General features: G+C 62.8%; 3 protein-coding genes across 12 annotated transcripts in view, besides 1 other annotated feature; 1 reads left to right on the top strand and 2 right to left on the bottom strand.

The window, feature by feature from the left end:
• AXIN1 (axin 1) overlaps positions 1-10,138 on the top strand; it is a 65,284-nt gene extending 55,146 nt beyond the window's left edge. For 6 of the 10 annotated variants that reach the window (NM_003502.4, XM_011522682.3, XM_017023745.3 and 3 more), the window contains 5 exons: positions 352-522; positions 3,860-4,090; positions 6,281-6,388; positions 7,971-8,138; positions 9,330-10,138. In NM_003502.4, the coding sequence (NP_003493.1) occupies positions 352-522; positions 3,860-4,090; positions 6,281-6,388; positions 7,971-8,138; positions 9,330-9,456 (805 nt within the window). In that variant the 3' untranslated portion in view covers positions 9,457-10,138. The remainder of the gene's footprint in view (positions 1-351; positions 523-3,859; positions 4,091-6,280; positions 6,389-7,970; positions 8,139-9,329) is intronic. The other 4 variants (NR_134879.2, NM_181050.3, XM_011522683.3 and 1 more) reach the window with 1 other exon arrangement.
• On the bottom strand, positions 10,363-14,414 carry PDIA2 (protein disulfide isomerase family A member 2). Its single transcript, NM_006849.4, has 11 exons — positions 14,210-14,414; positions 12,985-13,191; positions 12,786-12,919; positions 12,563-12,700; positions 12,378-12,494; positions 12,141-12,266; positions 11,875-12,072; positions 11,105-11,225; positions 10,843-11,024; positions 10,633-10,743; positions 10,363-10,509 (listed from the first exon to the last, which is right to left on the bottom strand). The coding sequence occupies exons 1-11, from the start codon at positions 14,406-14,408 to the stop codon at positions 10,465-10,467; spliced, it is 1,578 nt and encodes a 525-aa protein (NP_006840.2). The 5' UTR covers positions 14,409-14,414; the 3' UTR covers positions 10,363-10,464.
• Positions 14,415-14,567: 153 nt separating this feature from the next.
• On the bottom strand, positions 14,568-16,987 carry ARHGDIG (Rho GDP dissociation inhibitor gamma). Its single transcript, NM_001176.4, has 6 exons — positions 16,825-16,987; positions 15,653-15,832; positions 15,470-15,553; positions 15,205-15,281; positions 15,048-15,111; positions 14,568-14,963 (listed from the first exon to the last, which is right to left on the bottom strand). The coding sequence occupies exons 1-6, from the start codon at positions 16,895-16,897 to the stop codon at positions 14,764-14,766; spliced, it is 678 nt and encodes a 225-aa protein (NP_001167.2). The 5' UTR covers positions 16,898-16,987; the 3' UTR covers positions 14,568-14,763.
• Positions 16,089-16,846: an enhancer, noted in NCBI's record as "H3K4me1 hESC enhancer chr16:330732-331489 (GRCh37/hg19 assembly coordinates)". NCBI's record gives its function as "activates a minimal SCP1, AML or CMV promoter by ChIP-STARR-seq in naive H9 embryonic stem cells {active_cell/tissue: H9 hESC(naive)}" and the evidence as "EXISTENCE:reporter gene assay evidence [ECO:0000049][PMID:30033119]".
• Positions 16,988-18,901: the final 1,914 nt, after the last annotated feature.

Below are 18,901 nucleotides of genomic sequence, written 5' to 3'. Positions count from 1 at the left end.
CCTGGGTCAGGGGAGTCCACGCCGTGACCTCAGGTGGGAGATGAAGGTTAGGGGACACAGCCCGACCCTGGCTCCCGCTCTGGCCCTCAGTCTTCAGGGGGTGAGCAGTGACTGCCTGTGTGTTTAGAGAGGAAACCAACCCCCAGACAGCACCAGGACAGCGGGCAGGGGACAGCGGGTGGGGGACAAGCTGGCGGGGGACAGCGGGTGGGGGACAAGCGGGCAGGGGACAGCGGGCGGCGGCTGCACCACGGGAGCCTTACAGATGCCAGGAGGGGGCCTCGCAGACGAGGAAGGGGCACAGCCTCGGCCACCGGAGGCCAGGGCGACTCGCAGCTCTTGCCCTTGCAGTGGGAAGGTGGGCGTGGCGTGCAAAAGAAATGCCAAGAAGGCTGAGTCGGGGAAGAGCGCCAGCACCGAGGTGCCAGGTGCCTCGGAGGATGCGGAGAAGAACCAGAAAATCATGCAGTGGATCATTGAGGGGGAAAAGGAGATCAGCAGGCACCGCAGGACCGGCCACGGGTGAGCACCCCGCACGCAGCCAGCCTCGTGGGGCCTGCTTTGCCACCCCTGGCCTCCGCACAGTCTCAGTGTGTGCAGCTTCAGTGTGTGTGGCGAGTGTCGCCTGTGACGCCTCACACTTCCCCTGTCACTGTGGCACCCTCCCGGGCACCCTCCAGCAGGCTCCCTGGGCCCCACGTCTCCAGGAGGAAAACCTCATGTCCCCAGAGAGAGGCTGTCCCTGAAGCCCCGAGCAGGAGGGAAGCTGACGTGGCTGTCACCCCGCAGGCAGCACAGATGCTCTCGGGAGGTCATTTCCAGTCTGACCCCCACATGAGAATGACCTAAGTCACCTGGGAAGGCCCCCACTGACCATCACTCCCGAGGTGCCCACGGAGGAGCCTTCTGTGCTCACACCTGGCCGTCCTGCTGAGGGCTGGGGAAGGCTCTTGTGTAGCGTGAGCACTTCTCTCCTCCCAGAAGGGCAGAGGCCTCGTGTGTGGTGTGGAGCAAGGCCCCGGCGCCACAGGTCCAGCCCCTGCCGCTGCCCGCCGGGCCGGTCTTGGTGTTGCTCCTGCTCGCCCCCTGGGCCTGCACTCGTGCCCGGAACCCAGCAGGAGGGCCAGGGGCCCCACAGAGGTGGTACCCCCCACCTTCCTGTCGTGGTCAGAGGCAGGTCAGCTGGGAAGTGTTGGCCCTGGTGGGTGGATGGCCCCAGCTTCCTCAGACTTAGGTCCTGATCTGCCCCCCACCCTCACCCAGGCCCTGGCCAGGACGCATCTCCCTCCACATTACTTGATGAGAACTTGTGAGGCAGCTGAGCGCCTGGGGCGTGGCCCTCCTGCCTGTGTTGGAAGCCTGTCCCGCAAGGCCTTGGGGTCCCCATCGGTGCTGACTGAGGTGGGGACGGGCTCATCGTTTTTCTGGGGCTCCCGAGGGAACAGGGGTGCACAGCACCTTGCCTGGCTCATTTTTTGTAGAGGGGGTCTCAGTGTGTTGCCCAGCTGGGTCTCAAGCTTTTGGGCTCAAGTGATCCTCCCACCTTGGCCTCCCAAAATGCTGGGACTACAGGCATGAGCCACCATTCCTGGCCTTCGAGTCTTTTTTTTTGAGACGGAGTCTAGCTCTGTCGCCCGGGCTGGAGTGCAGTGGTGCAATCTTGGCTAACTGCAACCTCCACCTCCTGGGTTCAAGCAATTCTCCTGCCTCAGCCTCCCGAGTAGCTGGGATTACAGGCGTGAGCCACCACGCCCGGCTGATTTTTGTATTTTTAGTAGAGACCGGGGCAGGGGGTGGTTGCCATGTTAGGCTGATCTCGAACTCCCAACCTTTGGTGATCCGCCTGCCTCGGCCTCCTGGAGTGCTAGGATTACAGGCGTGAGCCACCGTGCCCGGCCGAATCCTTTTTTTAAATAGCTGTATATACTAAATATTGCATGTCCCATATTTTAGGATAAGTATTAATACATTCCACTTTGAGACATACTTATACTTTTTATTCATTAAGACTTTTTTTTTAATTTTTTGCGACAGAGTCTCCCTCTGTCACCCTGGCTGAAGTGCAGTGGTGTAATCACACCGTTCACTGCAGTCTCAGCCTCCTGGACTCAAAGCTATCCGCCGGCCTCTAGGATTAGTATATAATTTGTATCCCAGTAAAGCTGTTAAAAATAAAATGTAAAAAAAGAAGCCTCATCCCAGCACTTTGGGAGGCCGAGGCAGGTGGATCGCTTGAGGTCCGGAGTTCGAGACCAGACTGGCCAACATGACAAAAACTCCATCTCTACTAAAAAAAATACAAAAAATTAGCCGTGTGTGGTGGCGAGTGCCAGTAATCCCAGCTACTCGGTGGCTGAGGCAGGAGAGTCGCTTGAACCTGGGAGGCGGAGATTGCAGTGAGCCGAGATCCGAGGTCGAGCCATTGCACTGCAGCCTGGGCAACAAGAGCAAAACTCTGTCTCAAAAAAAGAAAAAAAAAAAGTCTCCATGAAAGAATTTTTTTTTTTTTTTTTTGAGACGGAGTCTTGCTCTGTTGCCCAGGCTGGAGTGCAGTGGCCTGATCTCAGCTCACTGCAAGCCTCGCCTCCCGGGTTCATGCCATTCTCCTGCCTCAGCCTCAAGAGCAGCTGGGACTGCAGGCGCCCGCCACCACGCCCGGCTAATTTTTTGTATTTTTTTAGTAGAGGTGGGGTTTCACCGTGTTAGCCAGGACGGTCTCGATCTCTTGACCTCGTGATCCGCCCTCCTCAGCCTCCCAAAGTGCTGGGATTACAGGCGTGAGCCACCGCGCCTGGCCTTTTTTTTTTTTTTTTTTTTTTTTTGAGATGGGGTTTCGCTCCTGTGGCTCAGGCTGGAGTGCAACAGGCCAGTGTCAACGCACTGCAACCTCCACCTCCCAGGTTCAAGTGGTTCTCCTGTCTAACCCACCTGAGTAGCTGGGATTACAGGCACCCACTATTATGCCCAGTTAACTTTTTGTATTTTTGTAGAAACAGGGTTTCACCATGTTGGCCAGGCTGGTCTTGAACTCCTGACCTCAGATGATCCACCCGCCTCGGCCTCCCAGCGTGCTGGGATTACCGCGCCTGGCCATTTTTTTTTTTTTTTTTTTTTTTTGAGATGGAGTCTCACTCTTGCCTAGGCTGGAGTGCAGTGGTGCAATCTCAGCTCACCGCAACCTCTGCCTCCCAGGTTCAAGCGATTCTCCTGCCTCAGCCTCCCGAGTAACTAGAATTACTGGTATCCACCACCACACTTGGGTAATTTTTTGTATTTTTTGAGTAGAGTCATGGTTTTGCCATGTTGGCCAGGCTGTTCTTGAACTCCTGACCTCAGGCGATCCACCCACCTTGGCCTCCCAGAGTATTGGGATTACAGGCAAATGAGGGTTGGTTTTTTGTTGTCTTTTTTATTCCTGAGACTGAGCCTCACTCTGTCACCCAGGCTGGAGTGCGGTGGCGTGATCCCGGCTCACTGTAACCTCCACTTCCCCAGTTCCAGCCATTCTCGGGCCCCAGCCTCCAGAGTAGCAGGGATGACAGGCGCCCAGCTAATTTTGTATATTTAGTAGCGATGAGGTTTCACCATGTTAGGTTGATCTCGAACTCCCGACCTCTGGTGATCTGCCCGCCTCGGCCTCCCGAAATGCTGGGATTACAGGTGTGAGCCACCATGCCTGGCCGGGATGTTTTTATTGTGTGGTCTGTGGAGGACGTCCATGTGGCTTGGTGGCCAGGCCCCAGTGCCCCATCCCATCCTATCCCTCAAGGAGGCTGCCCTTGTGAGATGAGTGTAGCCCCACCAGGCCACCTGGCCAGGGTGTCGGCCACAGTCACAACTTGTTCTCTTGTTCCCCAAGGTCTTCGGGGACGAGGAAGCCACAGCCCCATGAGAACTCCAGACCCTTGTCCCTTGAGCACCCCTGGGCCGGCCCTCAGCTCCGGACCTCCGTGCAGCCCTCCCACCTCTTCATCCAAGACCCCACCATGCCACCCCACCCAGCTCCCAACCCCCTAACCCAGCTGGAGGAGGCGCGCCGACGTCTGGAGGAGGAAGAAAAGAGAGCCAGCCGAGCACCCTCCAAGCAGAGGTACGGCCGCGTCGTGGGGTGGGGTGGGTCTTGGGGGTTACCACAGCACCACTCCTGGGGCTGAAGCTCCCCGAGGCCTGAGGTCTTCAGGGGAAAAACGGCCCTCTGGGTGTCCCCCAGCCATACTGGGCCCTTCCATCCACTGAGAACCACTGAGGGGCCACGTGGCAGGCCACCCTGCGGTGGACGGAGGCTGGGGCTGGAGCTTTCACACACCCGAGGCCGCCGCGCTCATTGCTCTGGAGGCGGGGTCCCTCCTCAACCTGAGCCCAGTCTGCAGGGAGGCTGCAGGGCCCCAGTGTGTGGGGAACGCCGGTCCCCAGCCAGAGGCTGCTCGCTGCTGGGCAGCCTGGGCTTTAGGGCAGAGGTCCTGGAGGCATGGCGGCTGCCTCTTGACAGTTGCGTCCCAGGAGCCCTGAGTGGCTCTGCACGGTCGGAAAGCTACGTGGTTCTGAAAGCCGTGCAGATGTAGAAGTGTCGTCCTGGACGTCCAGCCCACAGCCCTCCTCGCTGTGTCCTCTTGTCATCCTGGATGTCCAGCCCACAGCCCTCCTCACTGTGCCCTTCTCTCATCCGGGACGTCCAGCCCACAGCCCTCCTCACTGCGCCCTCCTTGGTCTTCTGGGCTCCGTAGCCAGACCCTGTTCTCTCCCTAGGGCAGGGAGGCTTCTGTCTGGGCTGCAGGGAGGTCTCCCCTTTGTGTGGGCAGCATTTTCGCTCCAGGCCAGAACCTGGCTTCTCCATTTTCAGCTTGCTCATAAGGCCAGTTTTCTCGGCCATCCTGGGTCATTGGAATTCCCCACAGATCAGTGTCTCTTTGAGGGTCCTGGGAGCCTATAGCTCACCCAGGCCCTGGGGCTGTGGTCACAGAGGCCATGGTTGCCTTCAGAGGTCACCAGCTCCTCCTGTCCACCTTGGGTCACCTGGGGCCTGGGGTCCAGGCCCGCCTCCCGGGCCTCCAGCTTTGGGGCTGTGCCACTCCAGGGAGGCTGTGGCTAGGGGCCTTATTCTGCCGAACCAGCATCAGGGTTCAGACCCTTCCCAGCTGAAAGCCTGTGTGGTCTCAAGTCATTAAAGGTTCCTGAGCTTCTGCCAGGCTGTGAGCCTAATGACAGCTCTGGGGCCAGAAAGGGTCACAGTTACCTCAAACCCAAAGGGTGACCACTTTATGACCAAACATCTGTGACCCTGTGATCGTGTTCGGCCAACAAGGAGCTGGAGCCCCCTGCCATGCAGGAGCCTGGAGTGTGGTGCTCGGAGCCGGGGCGTGTGACTGGGCTGGCAGATGAGCCGTGGTGGGCATCGTGTGCAGCAGGTCCGAGGCCCTGGGCGTGTGTGGGCTCTCCTGCCGGGGCTTCCTGAGCCATCCTTGCTGGGCTGAGCAGGGGTCTCTCAGGTTGCGTCTGCGCTTTCCCCTGGTACCCGTGGCCCCACATGATGGCAGGGGATGCCCGCTGAGCCGTGGGACCACTCCCGCCGTTCTGAGACACGACCCTCCCGCCCGTTTGGCTGCTGGGCTCCAGCATCCCCCCATGGGGAAACCCAGAGTTGCTGGGTTTGTCCGTCCAGGGGATGTGGGTTTTTGCGAGAAGCTGTGGAGACGGAGTGAAGGCCCAGAGGCAGGTTGGGTGCTGGGCCCTGTCAGGATGTCAGAGTAGAAACCACCATCAAGGTCGCCCAGTGTACCCCGGTGGAGGTGTCCACGTGAGAGGAGCTGCTGTGCTGCCCCAGGATGGCCTCAGTTGTGGCGCCGGGGGGCCCTCAGCCTCCCTGAGGTGCAGACCGAGTTGCCACGCACGCCCCAGAGCCAGTGTCCACGCTATCGGTGGGGAATTCATGCCAAGAGACTGAAGGACAGACTCTCGGGACGAGATGTCATCCCACCAGAGGGGATGAGGTGGTGGGATCCCAGCACCCCTGATCGGAAGCTCCCCAAAGTGCGGTCCAGGGAACTCAGGGGGTTGGTGCCGGGATCATGAATGTGGGGCGCGCTGCAGTATCGGGTACCACCAAGGCAGGCCTAGGAGGGGACTCGGTGTCTTGTCTACCCTGCAAACTGGAGCCTGCGCAGGGTGGGTTGTTCGGGCCCTTCACGCTCCGTCCGTCCCTGCGCAGCAGCATTGGTCGAGGCTCCCTCCCCAGGGCTGGTGGCCGCCGGCACAGCCACCTTTGACGCGGGTTGTTCCCTAGGTATGTGCAGGAGGTTATGCGGCGGGGACGCGCCTGCGTCAGGCCAGCGTGCGCGCCGGTGCTGCACGTGGTACCAGCCGTGTCGGACATGGAGCTCTCCGAGACAGAGTACGTGCGTCCTGAGGGTCCTCCCGGTCCTGCCCACCCCAGCCCTGGCGTCCCAAGCCAGGTCCCATCGTAGAGCCGCCGTCCCGGGGCTTGAGCTCGGGTACCACGCTCAGAAGCAGCTGTGGCAGGAGAGGGTCCCGTGGCATCAGACTCGAAGCTGCCCGAGAGCCTTCTCCTGTCTCCATCAAAGGAGACGCTGACTGTCCAGCATGATGACAAGTGACCAAAAGGCCCGGCTGGAGGCCTGGGCACAGCCAGCCCCTGCATCCACACAGGTGTCACGGCCAGGCTTCCTGTGGGGCAGAGACCTGCCTGCGCCTCCACCCGGCTTGGAACGGGCCGGTCCCTGCCAGGCCTGACTTGACCAGGCTCGGGGCTGCAGGTGCTGAGGTGCCCGGGGTGCGTCTGCTTGCAGTGTGGGTCTCAGCCATGCGTGTCTGTCCAGCCCGTGCAGTCAGTGAGTCGGGGCTCTGCTCCCACCTACAATGCTGACTGCTCTGAACCCGTGAGAAAGGGCTCAGACCATGTGATCCCACATGGGCCGTGTCGACGGCGCCTTTATGTGCTCAAGGTGGCAGGAGGAGGGGGCACACCCCAAAAGGGGCCTTGAGAACAAGGGTCCCCCAGGCCTTGCCAGGCTTGCCCCAGATGCAGGTTTGTTGTGGCCCTCATCGTGTAGGCGGTCTTGGGGCAGCCTTCACCTGTCCCTGGGGCAGCCCCCACGTGTTGGCTCTTCTCTGATGGGCCTGGCTCCAGGAGGCTCCGAGGATGTGGCACTGGGAGGACGTCTAAGAGCGCACGTGGCTGGGGGCCTGGTGTGCAAAGAGGATGGTCACATGGCTCAGGTGGCCATGAGGCCTTCCTGCCCTGGTGTTGGCTCTGGAAGCCTCTGGTGCACCCAGCCAGGAGGAGGCCCAAGGGCTGAACCCCAGTGGGCCAGGGGCAGCTTCTGGAGTCACTTGAAGGACAGGTGGCGGCGGGGTAGCCGAGTGGGGGGTGCGAGAGCAACCAGGCCCCGCCCGTCATCCCGGCACGGCTGTGGAAGCACAGCACCTGTCAGAGGAGGGCCCGGCTCAGCCTGGGCAGGAGACGGTGCCAGCCCTGCCCCCTCTGAAGGGCCTGCTGGCCACCCCCGCCCCAGTCCTCCGACAAACTTCGCTGCGGGGTCAGGCTTATCCAGAAATCGTGCACAGTTCTGTTTGTCCAATCCCTGCCCTTCAGATGTTTTTAAGGTTTGGGGGCCGTAGGTCTTCCTGAGATAGGAGCCCTGCAGCCTGCCCTGCCATCCTAGAGGTGGGAGCTGCAGTGCACCTGGCAGCCAGGCCCTGGCCAGTCGAGGGTGGGGCTGTGAGGCAGCAGGGAGACCTTCGTGCTCCCAGTGAGCGGAGCCGACTCCACTGCTAGCGGACTAGATCCCAGATTGAGATGCTGTGCGGGGGCTGCGGGCCCCAGGTGTTTGAATGGGGTGCTGCTCACCCCTGCAGGCCTGCCCCGCCTTACACTGGCAGCCTGAGGCCAGCAGGAGGGACCCTGTGGGACCTCAGTCCAAAACCAGGTACCACCGCTGCATCTCTTTCCCCAGGACAAGATCGCAGAGGAAGGTGGGCGGCGGGAGTGCCCAGCCGTGTGACAGCATCGTTGTGGCGTACTACTTCTGCGGGGAACCCATCCCCTACCGCACCCTGGTGAGGGGCCGCGCTGTCACCCTGGGCCAGTTCAAGGAGCTGCTGACCAAAAAGGGCAGCTACAGGTGAGTGTGAGGGCTGGGGTGCCCCCTCCCCGCACGAGTATGTGGGTGCCCAACGGTATGAAAAAGAGGGTTTCCAGCCGGGCACAGTGGCTCACGTCCTAATCCTGGCACTTTGGGAGGCTGAGGTGGGCGGATTGCCTCAGCTCAGCAGTTCGAGACCAGCCTGGGCAACATGGTGAAACCCCGTCTCTACTAAAAATACTAAAGAAATTAGCCAGGTGTGCTACTTGGGAGGCTGAGGCAGAATTGCTTGAACTCGGGAGGCAGAGGTTGCAGTGAGCTGAGATCACGCCACTGCTCTCCAGCCTGGGTGACAGAGCGAGACTCTGTCTCTACCCCCGCCCAAAAAAAAAAAAAGAAGAAAAAGGGCTTCCGGCCATTTCAGCTCATGTCCCTCATCTGCAACTAAAGCCACTTCTCCAAGCCCTAGGCTGAGGGTGGCATCAGGCTTTCGGCCCCACAGGACTGAGAGGGTCCAAAGGGACCCCCGTCCAGGGCCCTCATCTTCGGGGTGGGAAAACAGAGGCCAGACCCCTAGACGACGATGGTCTGAACCTTGTGTTAGGCTCCCCTAGGCCGACCTTGTCTCCAGGCTCTGGACTCATGTGCTTTTGCCTGACTGAAAAGCCAAGCCCCCTCCTACCAAGGTTCATTCGCCCTGGGCCACTCAGCCCTGCAGGGCCCTGCGTGCAGCCAGCCTTGGAGGCTCCCGAGTGAGCACTGGGCGGTGAGCAGAGGGGGCCTGACCCCAAGAGCCTGGCAGAGCCTGGCGGGTGGTTCCCACCGTCCACAAGCCACTGTGCAAACACCCCATGACTGCAGATGTGGTGCTGAGGGAGGGCCCCAGTTGGGGTCACCTCCATGACGGGGCTCAGCCCTTGGGAAGCAGACACCCCACACCCGTCCACTTCCCCCCTGCAACTCCTGAGAGGCTGGGGCAGGTACTCCCAGGGGGATGTGGGGTGCTCCCAGCAGGCAGTGAACTCACCCCCCATGGCTGCCCACTTCACCCACATGTGGTCATTGCACTGTTCACTGTTGCCCTGGGAGGGGGCGCACATGCAGTGGGGGCCGTGGGGCATGGACAGGAGGCTCCTCGGGATGGGGTGTGGACACGCCGTCCCCTGCCACAGGCCTCCTTCCCATCTGCGGTGCTGCCTGCTCACTGCCCTCCTCACCTCCGTCCTGCAGATACTACTTCAAGAAAGTGAGCGACGAGTTTGACTGTGGGGTGGTGTTTGAGGAGGTTCGAGAGGACGAGGCCGTCCTGCCCGTCTTTGAGGAGAAGATCATCGGCAAAGTGGAGAAGGTGGACTGATAGGCTGGTGGGCTGGCCGCTGTGCCAGGCGAGGCCCTTGGCGGGCACGGGTGTCACGGCCAGGCAGATGACCTCGTACTCAGGAGCCCGATGGGGAACAGTGTTGGGTGTACCACCCATCCCTGTGGTCTACCCGTGTCTAGAGGCAGGTAGGGGGTCCCTCCAAGTGGTCCACAAGCTTCTGTCCTGCCCCCAAGGAGGCAGCCTGGACCACTCCTCATAGCAATACTTGGAGGGCCCAGCCCAAGTGAGGCAGCCGAGGTCCCTGCTGCCAGCTTCAGGTGACCCCCCCCCATCCCCCGGCACCTCCCTTGGGCACGTGTGCTGGGATCTACTTTCCCTCTGGGATTTGCCCACGTACCCAGGTCTGGGTGGGGCCCAGGCCCGGATGCAGAGGCCTGCAGGGCCTCTGTCAATTGTACGCGCCACCGAGTGCCTTCAACACAGCTTGTCTCTTGCCTGCCACTGTGTGAATCGGCGACGGAGCACTGCACCTGCCTCCAGCCGCCGGCTGTGCAGTCCTGGGTCCTCCTTTCTGAGGGCCCGTGTAAATATGTACATTTCTCAGGCTAGGCCAGCAGGGGCTGCCCGAGTCTGTTTTTCATGCGATGACACTTGTACAATTAATTATCTTTTCAAAGGTACTTGGATAATAATGAAATAAAACTGTTTTTGAACCTGCCCTGGCTGTGGTGTGTCTTCTGCGGGTGGGGCCTGGCCTAGGTCTCCCAGCCTCAGCCCCCGTGGTAAAGGAGGGCACACTGGCCTCCAGCAGGCATGGGGATCACCTGTGACTCAGAGGCTGGCAGGGCTAGAGCAGGAACGTGCTCCACCTTCCTGCCCTGGAGCCCCCAGCTGGGCAGAGCTGCATCAGGCCAGCCTTGCTGAGGGACCAGGCACACAGAGTCCAGAACCAAGCTCACTCTTTATTCACAATGCACAGCTCCCTCTGGTACCCAAGGGGGTGGCTCCTGTCCAGCAGTGATGGCGGGGGTGACACGGGGGCAGCTACAGTTCCTCCTTGGACCCCATAGTGGAGTTGGCCGGTGGCTCCTAGAAAGGGTCACAAGTGCAGCTCGAAGCTCTGCTCCCAGCCTACCCCTGCCCCCGCCCCTGCCAGCCCTGTGTAAAGAGGATTTGTGCAGAGGCCTGGAGCCCTGGCTTAGGGACACCCACCGGGAACGGGGCTGCTGGCTCCTCCGGGGGCTCCTCCGTGGGCAGCACGCCCCCGTTGTCCAGGAACTTGGAGAAAGTCTCCAGGTCCCTGGTGCTTTTGTATTCAATCACCTGAGAAGAGGCAGGGGGATCTGGAGGACACGTGGGGCCCAGCCCCATGCCCAGCAAGATGGCACCCCGGCTTCCTCCCCAGCCACCTGTCCGCCATACCTTCCGACCTGGCCCTGCTGGGAAGTACTTGAGAGTAGGGAAGCCGTGCACAGCGAAGGCATCCAGCTCGTTGGCCGTGGCATCCAGCTCAGCAATGATGATGTCCTCGTGGTCTTGGTACTTCTCAGCCAATGCCTCCCAGGCAGGGGCCATCTCCTTGCAGTGGGTGCACCACGGGGCATCTAGGATGGGAGCCGTTGAGCACAGCCATCTGGGCAGCCCCTGCCCAGCCCACACCACCCCTGCCTCCCTCAACACTCACAGAACTTGACAAACACATTCTTGGTTTCGTCAAAAGCCACCTGCTCAAAATTCTTGCCCACGAGGGTCTTAACTGGCCGCTGATCCCAATCAGGGGGTATCTCCTGGCTCAGGAGATAGGGCTGGGGGAAACCAGGACAGGCGCTTTGCCAGGGGTCCTCTGCAGGGTTCAGGAGGTCCTGTGCAGGGCCTGGGGGGTGGGGGGGAGGTCCTGTGCGGGGTCAGCGGCAGGGGGAGGTTCTGTGTGGGGGGGGCGGTGGGGGGGAGGTCCTGTGCGGGGCCGGGGGCAGGTGGGGGGGAGATCCTCTGCAGGGCCTGACAGGGAGGTCCTCTTCAAGTTTGGGAGAACTGTGGGGTTTAGTGGGGGGAGGGAGAACTGTGGGGTTTGGTGGGGGGAGGGACCTCTGTGGGGTTGGGGTTGAGGTTGGGGTTGGGAGAACCGCGGGGTTGGAGAACCGCGGGGTTGGGGTTGGGAGAACCGCGGGGTTGGGAGAACCGCGGGGTTGGGAGAACCGCGGGGTTGGGGTTGGGGTTGGGGTTGGGGTTGGGAGAACCGCGGGGTTGGGGTTGGGAGAACCGCGGGTTTGGGGTTGGGAGAACCGCCGGGTTGGGGTTGGGAGAACCGCCGGGTTGGGAGAATTGCCGGGTTGAGGGGGGCCTCTGCGGGGCCTGCAGGGGCAGGGGGCTCTGAGAGCTGCTGTTCCCACCCCCTGCCAAGCTGGTGGGATGAGGTCAGGGTTCCCCTTCCATTATGAGCAGTCTGCAGCGGACCTTGACTTGGCCGTTGAGGACTGCATGGCAGAAAGCAGTGATGGACGCTGCGGTGACAGGGCCCCCATCCACAGGCGCATACTTCTTAGTGGTTTCAAGGTTGACCAAGCGCAGAGTGGGGGCTGCCTCAGCCTTGAGTCCAAAGTACTGCAGCACGTGCTCATTGTCGGCCGCCACGTCCACCACCACGAACAGCACCTGTGGCAGGGAGTCCATGCTGGCACCGGCCACTCTCCCGCTGCCCCTTTCCCCCAGCCCCCCAGTACCTGCCCCCGGAAGCGGGGAGCTGCCTCCCCAAAGCCCGCTAGGAGCTCCCGGTGCGCAGCCAGCGTCTGGTTGACAAACAGCAGCAGGTGGTTGAGGATCCTGGCCGCGAAGATCTTGGCAGACGTCTACAGTAGGGAGGGTGCTCATGACTCCACAGGACCCCCAGCCTAGGCACCCCCATCCCTGGACGACTCTACCCTGGGACACCCCCAGCCCAGGCACTGCAGCCTACGCACCTGGCTGTTGAACTCCGTGACCAGGCGCATGCTGTGTGTGACCAGGAAGCGCGACAGATCCCCCAGGTCCAGGCCAAGCTCCTCGTCCACGGGGAAGTCTGCCCGCCCCTCATCAAACTGGACAGCAGCAGGTGGGTTAGCGGGCGCTGCAGCCGGACCCCAACCCACACCTGGGCCTGACCTACCTTCTTGAAGAGAACCACAGTGTCCTTGGTGAGGCCAAACTGCTGAAAGAGCCGCGGCCGGTCTGTGAGGCCAAAGGTCATGTCCAGGGCGTCCTGGGCCAAGGCCAAGAAGGTGGCCACGTCCTCGTCCTGCAGGTCCTGAGGGGCCTGGCCCTGTGAGGCCACCCGGTCCCACCCACAGTCACTGCCCTCATGGCCCGGCCCCCCATGCCCAGTGGCTCACCTGGAAGAAGCCAATGACCACTAGGTCCCGGCCACCGATCAGCGCCTGGGCGGCCGCCTCGTCCTCCAGCCGCATGGCACTGGGCCCCACCCGCCGTCGCAGCCACTCGGCAATGCCCTCAGCGTCCCGTGGTCCTGCAGGGAGTCCCCCTCAGCCTCGGCCTGGCCACCGCCCCCCCAATGACCGGCCTGCCCCTCACCTGTGTACTCCTCCGGGTGCGTGCGGTTCCCATTGCGGAAGAACTTGAGCGTAGGGTACTCCGTCACACCAAACTCCTCAGCCAGCTCGCGCTGCGCGGGCCCATCCACCTTGGCCAGCGTGACCACCATTGACTCGGCCGCGAGCACGGCAGCTGCCTTGCTGTACTCGGGGGCCAGGGCCTGGCAGTGCCCACACCACGGGGCATCTGGGGGATGGGGCCGTGAGTGCCCCAGGCCACCACAACCCCAGGAGCACCCTCTCCACACCTGACAACCCAGCAGGGAACAAGCGTGCTGCTCCATTCTGCCCTGAGCCCTGGCCGTGGACAAGCCGAGCACCAGTGCCTCTTCGTGGCCCCCCAGGCTGCAGCACAGGGACCAGTAAGGCTTGGGAGAGCTTGAAAGACCACCCCCCCTCCCCCCACAGCCAGGCTCAGTGGCTCACGCCAGTAATCCCAGCACTTTGGGAGGCAGAGGCGGGCATATCACCTGAGGTTGGGAGTTCGAGACCAGCCTGACCAACATGGAGAAACCCCATCTCTACTAAAAATACAAAAAATATTAGCCGGGATTGGTTGCGTATGCCTATAATCCCAGCTACTCGGGAGGCTGAGGCAGGAGAATTGCTTGAACCTGGGAGGCGGAGGTTGCAGTGAGCCGAGATAGGGCCACTGCACTCCAGCCTGGGCGACAAAAGCAAAACTCCATCTCAAAAAATAAAAATAAAAAGACCCCTCCCTTTCGTGCCTTGTATGGCTGGGGCTCCCGGGCCCATGTGGCTGCCTGTGAAGGCCTCCTAGGCAAGAACAGTTCCTATGTGTGTCAAGGGTTGCGAAAAGACCACAGGGCACACACGTCAGGGACCTCCATGGGCCCCCAAAGCCTGGATACTGCCCGAGCCTCTGCAGAGTCTGTGGGATGCCCCTGGCAGCTGGAGGAGTGGCCGGCAAGGTGGTGACTCTGGCACCGTGGCCGCTGGCCGAGCAGGGAGGCACAGGTGTTCTCAAGTCCTGTGGGTACCCCCAGTACTACCACACTGCTCCTGCCTGCCCCAACCAGACCCCCAGGCCCCTCCTAGAGAGCTCCTGGGCACAGTGGGGGCAAGTGCCTGCGGGGAGGCCCCTCTTGGGCACATGCCCTGCATTTGCCGGCAAAGGGTGGGGCCCCCAGGTGGGCTCTGCCGGTCCCCCGCCGGTCCCCAGCCCCACTGGCCCCAGCACTCACAGAATTCCACCAGCAGGGCAGGGTGCTCCCGCAGGGCCAGGCCCAGGGTGTGGCGGCTCAGCACCAAGATCCCATCCTCCTTGGGGATTTCCTCCTCTGGAGGCTCCTCCGAGGGGCTCCTCGCTCCCTGTTCCTGACCCCATGGGCACGAAGCCCTGAGCAGCAGCAGCAGCAGTACAGGCAGAAGCTGGCGGCTCATGGTGCTGCCAGGGCGCGTGGGGCGGGGGCAGATAAGGGGGCCAGAAGCCAAGCAGCAGCTGCCACGTGGCACACAGGCCCAGTCCCAGCAAAGACAAGGCCCATGCGGCCGCCCCCGGCCCCCAGGGGAGGGGAGGCAGAAAGAGACGACACCCAGGGCACCGAGAGAGACAGGGCCATGTTTAATGGGACAGCTCAGGGGACAGCGCCAGGCCAGGGGGTCCCGGGACAGAGCAGGGGCAGCAGGGGCAGCAGGGGCAGCAGGGGAGGGTCTGGTCACTCACGGGGGGTGCTGGGGATGCTTGGGGGTCCCTGTGCAACAACTGAGGGAGGTAGGGGAGACACGGACTGGGGGTTCAGTCCTTCCAGTCCTGGCAGATGCAGAGACCCCACTCCCAGGACAGGTGGTGCGTCCTGTCATCGTCGGTGAAGAGGGACACCACCAGATAGGGGCCCCGCACCAGCGCACCCCTCGGCGCTTCCTCCACCGGAGTCACAAACTCATACTCCTGGGCGCTCGGGCCATAGCTGCCCACCATGTAGACGGTCTTGTCCACTAGGGAGGGCGAGGGCATCAGAGCTGTCCTCTGTCTGCCCCCGCTTCCCCCCCCCGCCCCGTTCCCCCCACCGCTGCCCTCACCGCGCAGGCCCCGGCGGTAGGTGTGGTGCAGACACTTGAGGCCGCTGACAATCTCCCTGTGGACCTGGGAACAGAGGCATTAGGGGTTCCTCTGGGGGCCAGGCCTCTGGCTGTTGCCCCCACCCCCATCCCCTCCGCCCATTGCCCCGGCTCTCACCTTGAAGGAGATCTTCACTCTGTAATCAACACCTTCCTTCAGGACAAACACCTGGTCCTTCAGAACAGCCAGGTCCCCTATTGGGGAAACCTCAGCTAGGGTCGGAACTCCCCTACAGGCTGAGACCTGCTCCAGGAGCCCCCACGTAGGGTGTGGTACCCATGAGGTGTGCGACTGTGATGGCCCAGGGCTCGGAACTCAGGGGTGCAGAAGCGTGCCTGGGAGGGCCCTACCTGTGTTCAGGGTGCAGCATCCTGCGAGTTACCTGTGAGATCCATGACGACGGGCCCCGGAGCCTGTTCCGACAGGAGTGTCAGCCTGGTCACCTGCACATTGGGCAGGCTTGGGTCTGAGGAGAAACTGGAAGTCTGCAGGATGCCCCCCACCCCCACCAGGCTCCTCACCAGCCCCCCAGACCCAGCCCTCCAAGCCTAGACCCCTGCCATACCCACGGCCGGTGGCAGGGGCCCCAGCAGCACCCGCTTGTACTTGGCCAGGCTCCTGTCGTCCGGGTCCAGCTGCCGGATCTCCAAGAGGCTCTTCCTCCCCGGCGCCCGGTACTCGGGCACAGCCTCATCCAACACCTCGTCCACTGCCGGCGGCCCACCCTCCTTGTCAGCCAGGAGGACTGGGGGTGGGGAGGGGCGTGAGCAGCAGCCACTAGCGGACCCTGGCATTCGAGCACCAGGCTGGAGCCCCCTCTGGCCAGCTGTACCTCCCACTATCCAAAGGGACTCAAGGGAAGCCTCTGGGGGCTCAGGGAGAGAGCGAGCAGAGAGAGCAGGGCGGCCTGGGGAGGTGCCGCACCGCACCCAGACCTTCAGGAGGGGCCTCCAGAGACCGCCAGGCCTGCAGCTCCTCTGGCCCAGATGTCCACAAGGGCCCCCTCCCTGACTCGGAGACCAAAGGGCGGGGGAGCGAAGACTTCAGATGAGGGCAGCCCAGGGTCAGGGGCTACCTGCTAGAGAGCAGCGGCCCTCGGCGGCCCCCAAACCTACTGACCCTCTAGGGCCCTCGGCGGCCCCCAAACCTACTGACCCTCTAGGGCCCTCGGCGGCCCCCCAAGCCTACTGACCCTCTAGGGCCCTCCACCACCCTGCTCTGGACTGGGGTCTCTGAACACTTTCCCACAGTCTAGGAGTTCCTCCCCATGGTGCTCGGGTGCCGGGGGCGGCTGTCTCCAAATCCCTGGGCTCAGGCTCTGCGCCGCCTCCCATGGCGCCCCGGGCTGGTGGCCTCCTGAAGCCCCTCTCCCTGGTGCCCTGGGCAGGGGTTTCTGAGTCCCTGCCCACTTCGCTCCCGTCTTCTCGGGGATCACCACACGCCCTACAGAGCCTGAGCCCCAGCCCCAGCCCCACCCAAGACAGAGGGGCTCCAGGCGGCGGTGTCCAGGGGGAGAGGGTCCCAGCGCCGCCGCTTCCCAAGCCGACCCGTCCGCACCTGGTCCCTTCCCCACAGGGCTGGAGCCTGGATGAAGTCCCCCACCCCTGCCAGACCCCAGCCGGGGGGTCGGCGCCGCGAGGTCCCCATGCGCGCCCCCAAAGTTGCCGCGGGGGAGGGGCTACTCCCCGCCCGGGGCTGAGACCAGCCGAGCCCCCCGCCCCTGCCCGGCCCGCTCACCTCGGGCGCACAGCGCCAGCCGGAGCAGCTCCAGCAGCTGCGCCCCCAGCTCGCACGCGTCCAGGCCCAGCATGGCGGCGCGCGGCCCGGGCGCCGCGGAGCCGCCGAGGAGCCGCCGCCCGCCCCGCCGCCGCCCCGCTCGGCGCTCAGCCCCGGCGCGACTGCGGTGAGCTCATCCCGGCCGGGAGCGCCCCCCGCGCCCAGCCGCGCCCGGCAGAGAGCCCCCAGCCGCTCCGGACCCCGCGCAGCCCCGCAGAGACGCGCGTGTCGCCCGCACGGGCCGGCACCCGGGTCGCCCCCGCCGGCGTGCCAGGACCCCGCACAGAAGCGCCCGGACGCGGACGCACGCAGCCGCGGTCACGATCCCCGCCGCCCGCCCGGCCCGTGCCCGGCTCTGGCCAGCAGGGCTGCCCCACCCCCACGGCGCGGCGGGAGCCCGAGGGGGTCTCCTGGGAAACCCTCTGCGGGGCGCCGTGGCGCAGGTGCGCCCCCATCCCCAGGGTCTCATTATCCGCGGCCACACCTGGGGCCGGACCGCGCGCCCCCTTCCCCTCCCCCGCTCCTGAGGGAGCTTCTGTCTGGGCCGAGGGGGACTCCGGGGGCCTGCCCAGCCTTGGGGTGAGGGGCTGGCCCAACACCCTACAGGTTCACGGTCATCAGTAGGGCGGGACCACAGTGGGCGCGGGTCGCACGCACACCCAGGAGGCAACAAGGGCCCCTCAAAGGCTTAGCGACCTGGCTGCGCTGTGTGAGTTCCCAAGAGGGGGTGTCCCTGCAGGGCTCTTGGAAACCCAGTTACCGAGCCCCCTGTCCTCAGGGAGAGGACACTGACAAGGGGGCGGAGTACAGAGACCGGAGCACAGAGGGGGCTTCTGATATTGACACCTAAACTGAGACCTGTGGGTGGGTGGGGGGGATGGGACCCGGCAGGGGACAGGGGTGAGCAGGCCCTGGCTGGGACAGCTGGACCAAAGGCCTGCGTCTGGATAAGGGAGAAGGGGTCCGAACACCAGCCTGAGTCCCTTTCTTAGACACCCCTGGCCGGTTCCAGGGACACCAGAAATTAGACCCGCCCTTGCCAAAGAGCTCCTCAATTGAGAGAAGACCACCTTGGGTGCTAGGGGGCATTGGGGTTTGGGTGGGGACTGTCTCCCTTGCCCCCCAACTGCCCACAACCTTTCCAGGGCAGGATCCTATGAACTTGTGCCCAGGCCCCCCTAGAGCGCCACCTCTGCTGACCCTTCGCTGCAGGGAGCGGGGGCTGTTAGGACACTTGTCCCCAGGCCCACAGCTCCAGCTCCTGCAGCTGTTACCAGATAGAAGGTCTTGGAGGTGAGTTGTCCAGGTTCTTGGTGGGTTGAACAAAGAATTGAACAAAACGCACAAAGTAACAAAAGAACAACGAAACACAAGGAAACAAAACTGAGTCAGAAGAACGGAGTAAGGAAAGCACAGATTTAACGGAAGGCAATTCACAGAGTGGGAGTGGGCTGGAGCAAGTAGCTCCAGAGCCTCTGTAATTAGGATTTTTATTAAGCAAAGAAACCTGACCACAGCCCTTGTGCCCTTTAGAGGCCTCCAATTGGCTACACCCTATGAAGGATTGGCCCGAGACCAATCAGAGGTGAAGTGGAAATTTCTGTCTTGTTATCACAGCAGCCAGGATGTGGCTTGTGAGCTGCCCAATCCTGCCTAGAACTGGCTGCACCTGCTGTTCCGTTTCTTATGCCCAACCCTTGGCTACCCTCATTCCCTATTCTGCCTCACAGCTACCATGGGTGCCCACCCCTGCAGACAGGGCAGCCAGACCTGGGCCACCTCACCCCACCTGGGTGTGGGGCATGGGAGGGCTCACTGGGATCCAAGCGAGATGGTACCCTGGAGTAAGAGACCCCACAAGCCCCCTGCCCCAGCTCATGCTGAACGTGGCCTCTCCGGCAATGGAAATGGACTCAGACCACTATGTTAGGGGCTCCCAGCCCAAGGCCAACCGCCCACCCTGCCCAGCCCCTAGCACCCTCTGAGTGGGTAAGGATGGGGAGAGGTACTCTGCCTCCAAGAAAGCAGAAATAGACCA

This window comes from Homo sapiens, chromosome 16, assembly GCF_000001405.40.
Source record: "Homo sapiens chromosome 16, GRCh38.p14 Primary Assembly".
Classification (NCBI taxonomy): domain Eukaryota; kingdom Metazoa; phylum Chordata; class Mammalia; order Primates; family Hominidae; genus Homo; species Homo sapiens.
This window is presented reverse-complemented; position numbering and strand designations above follow the sequence as displayed.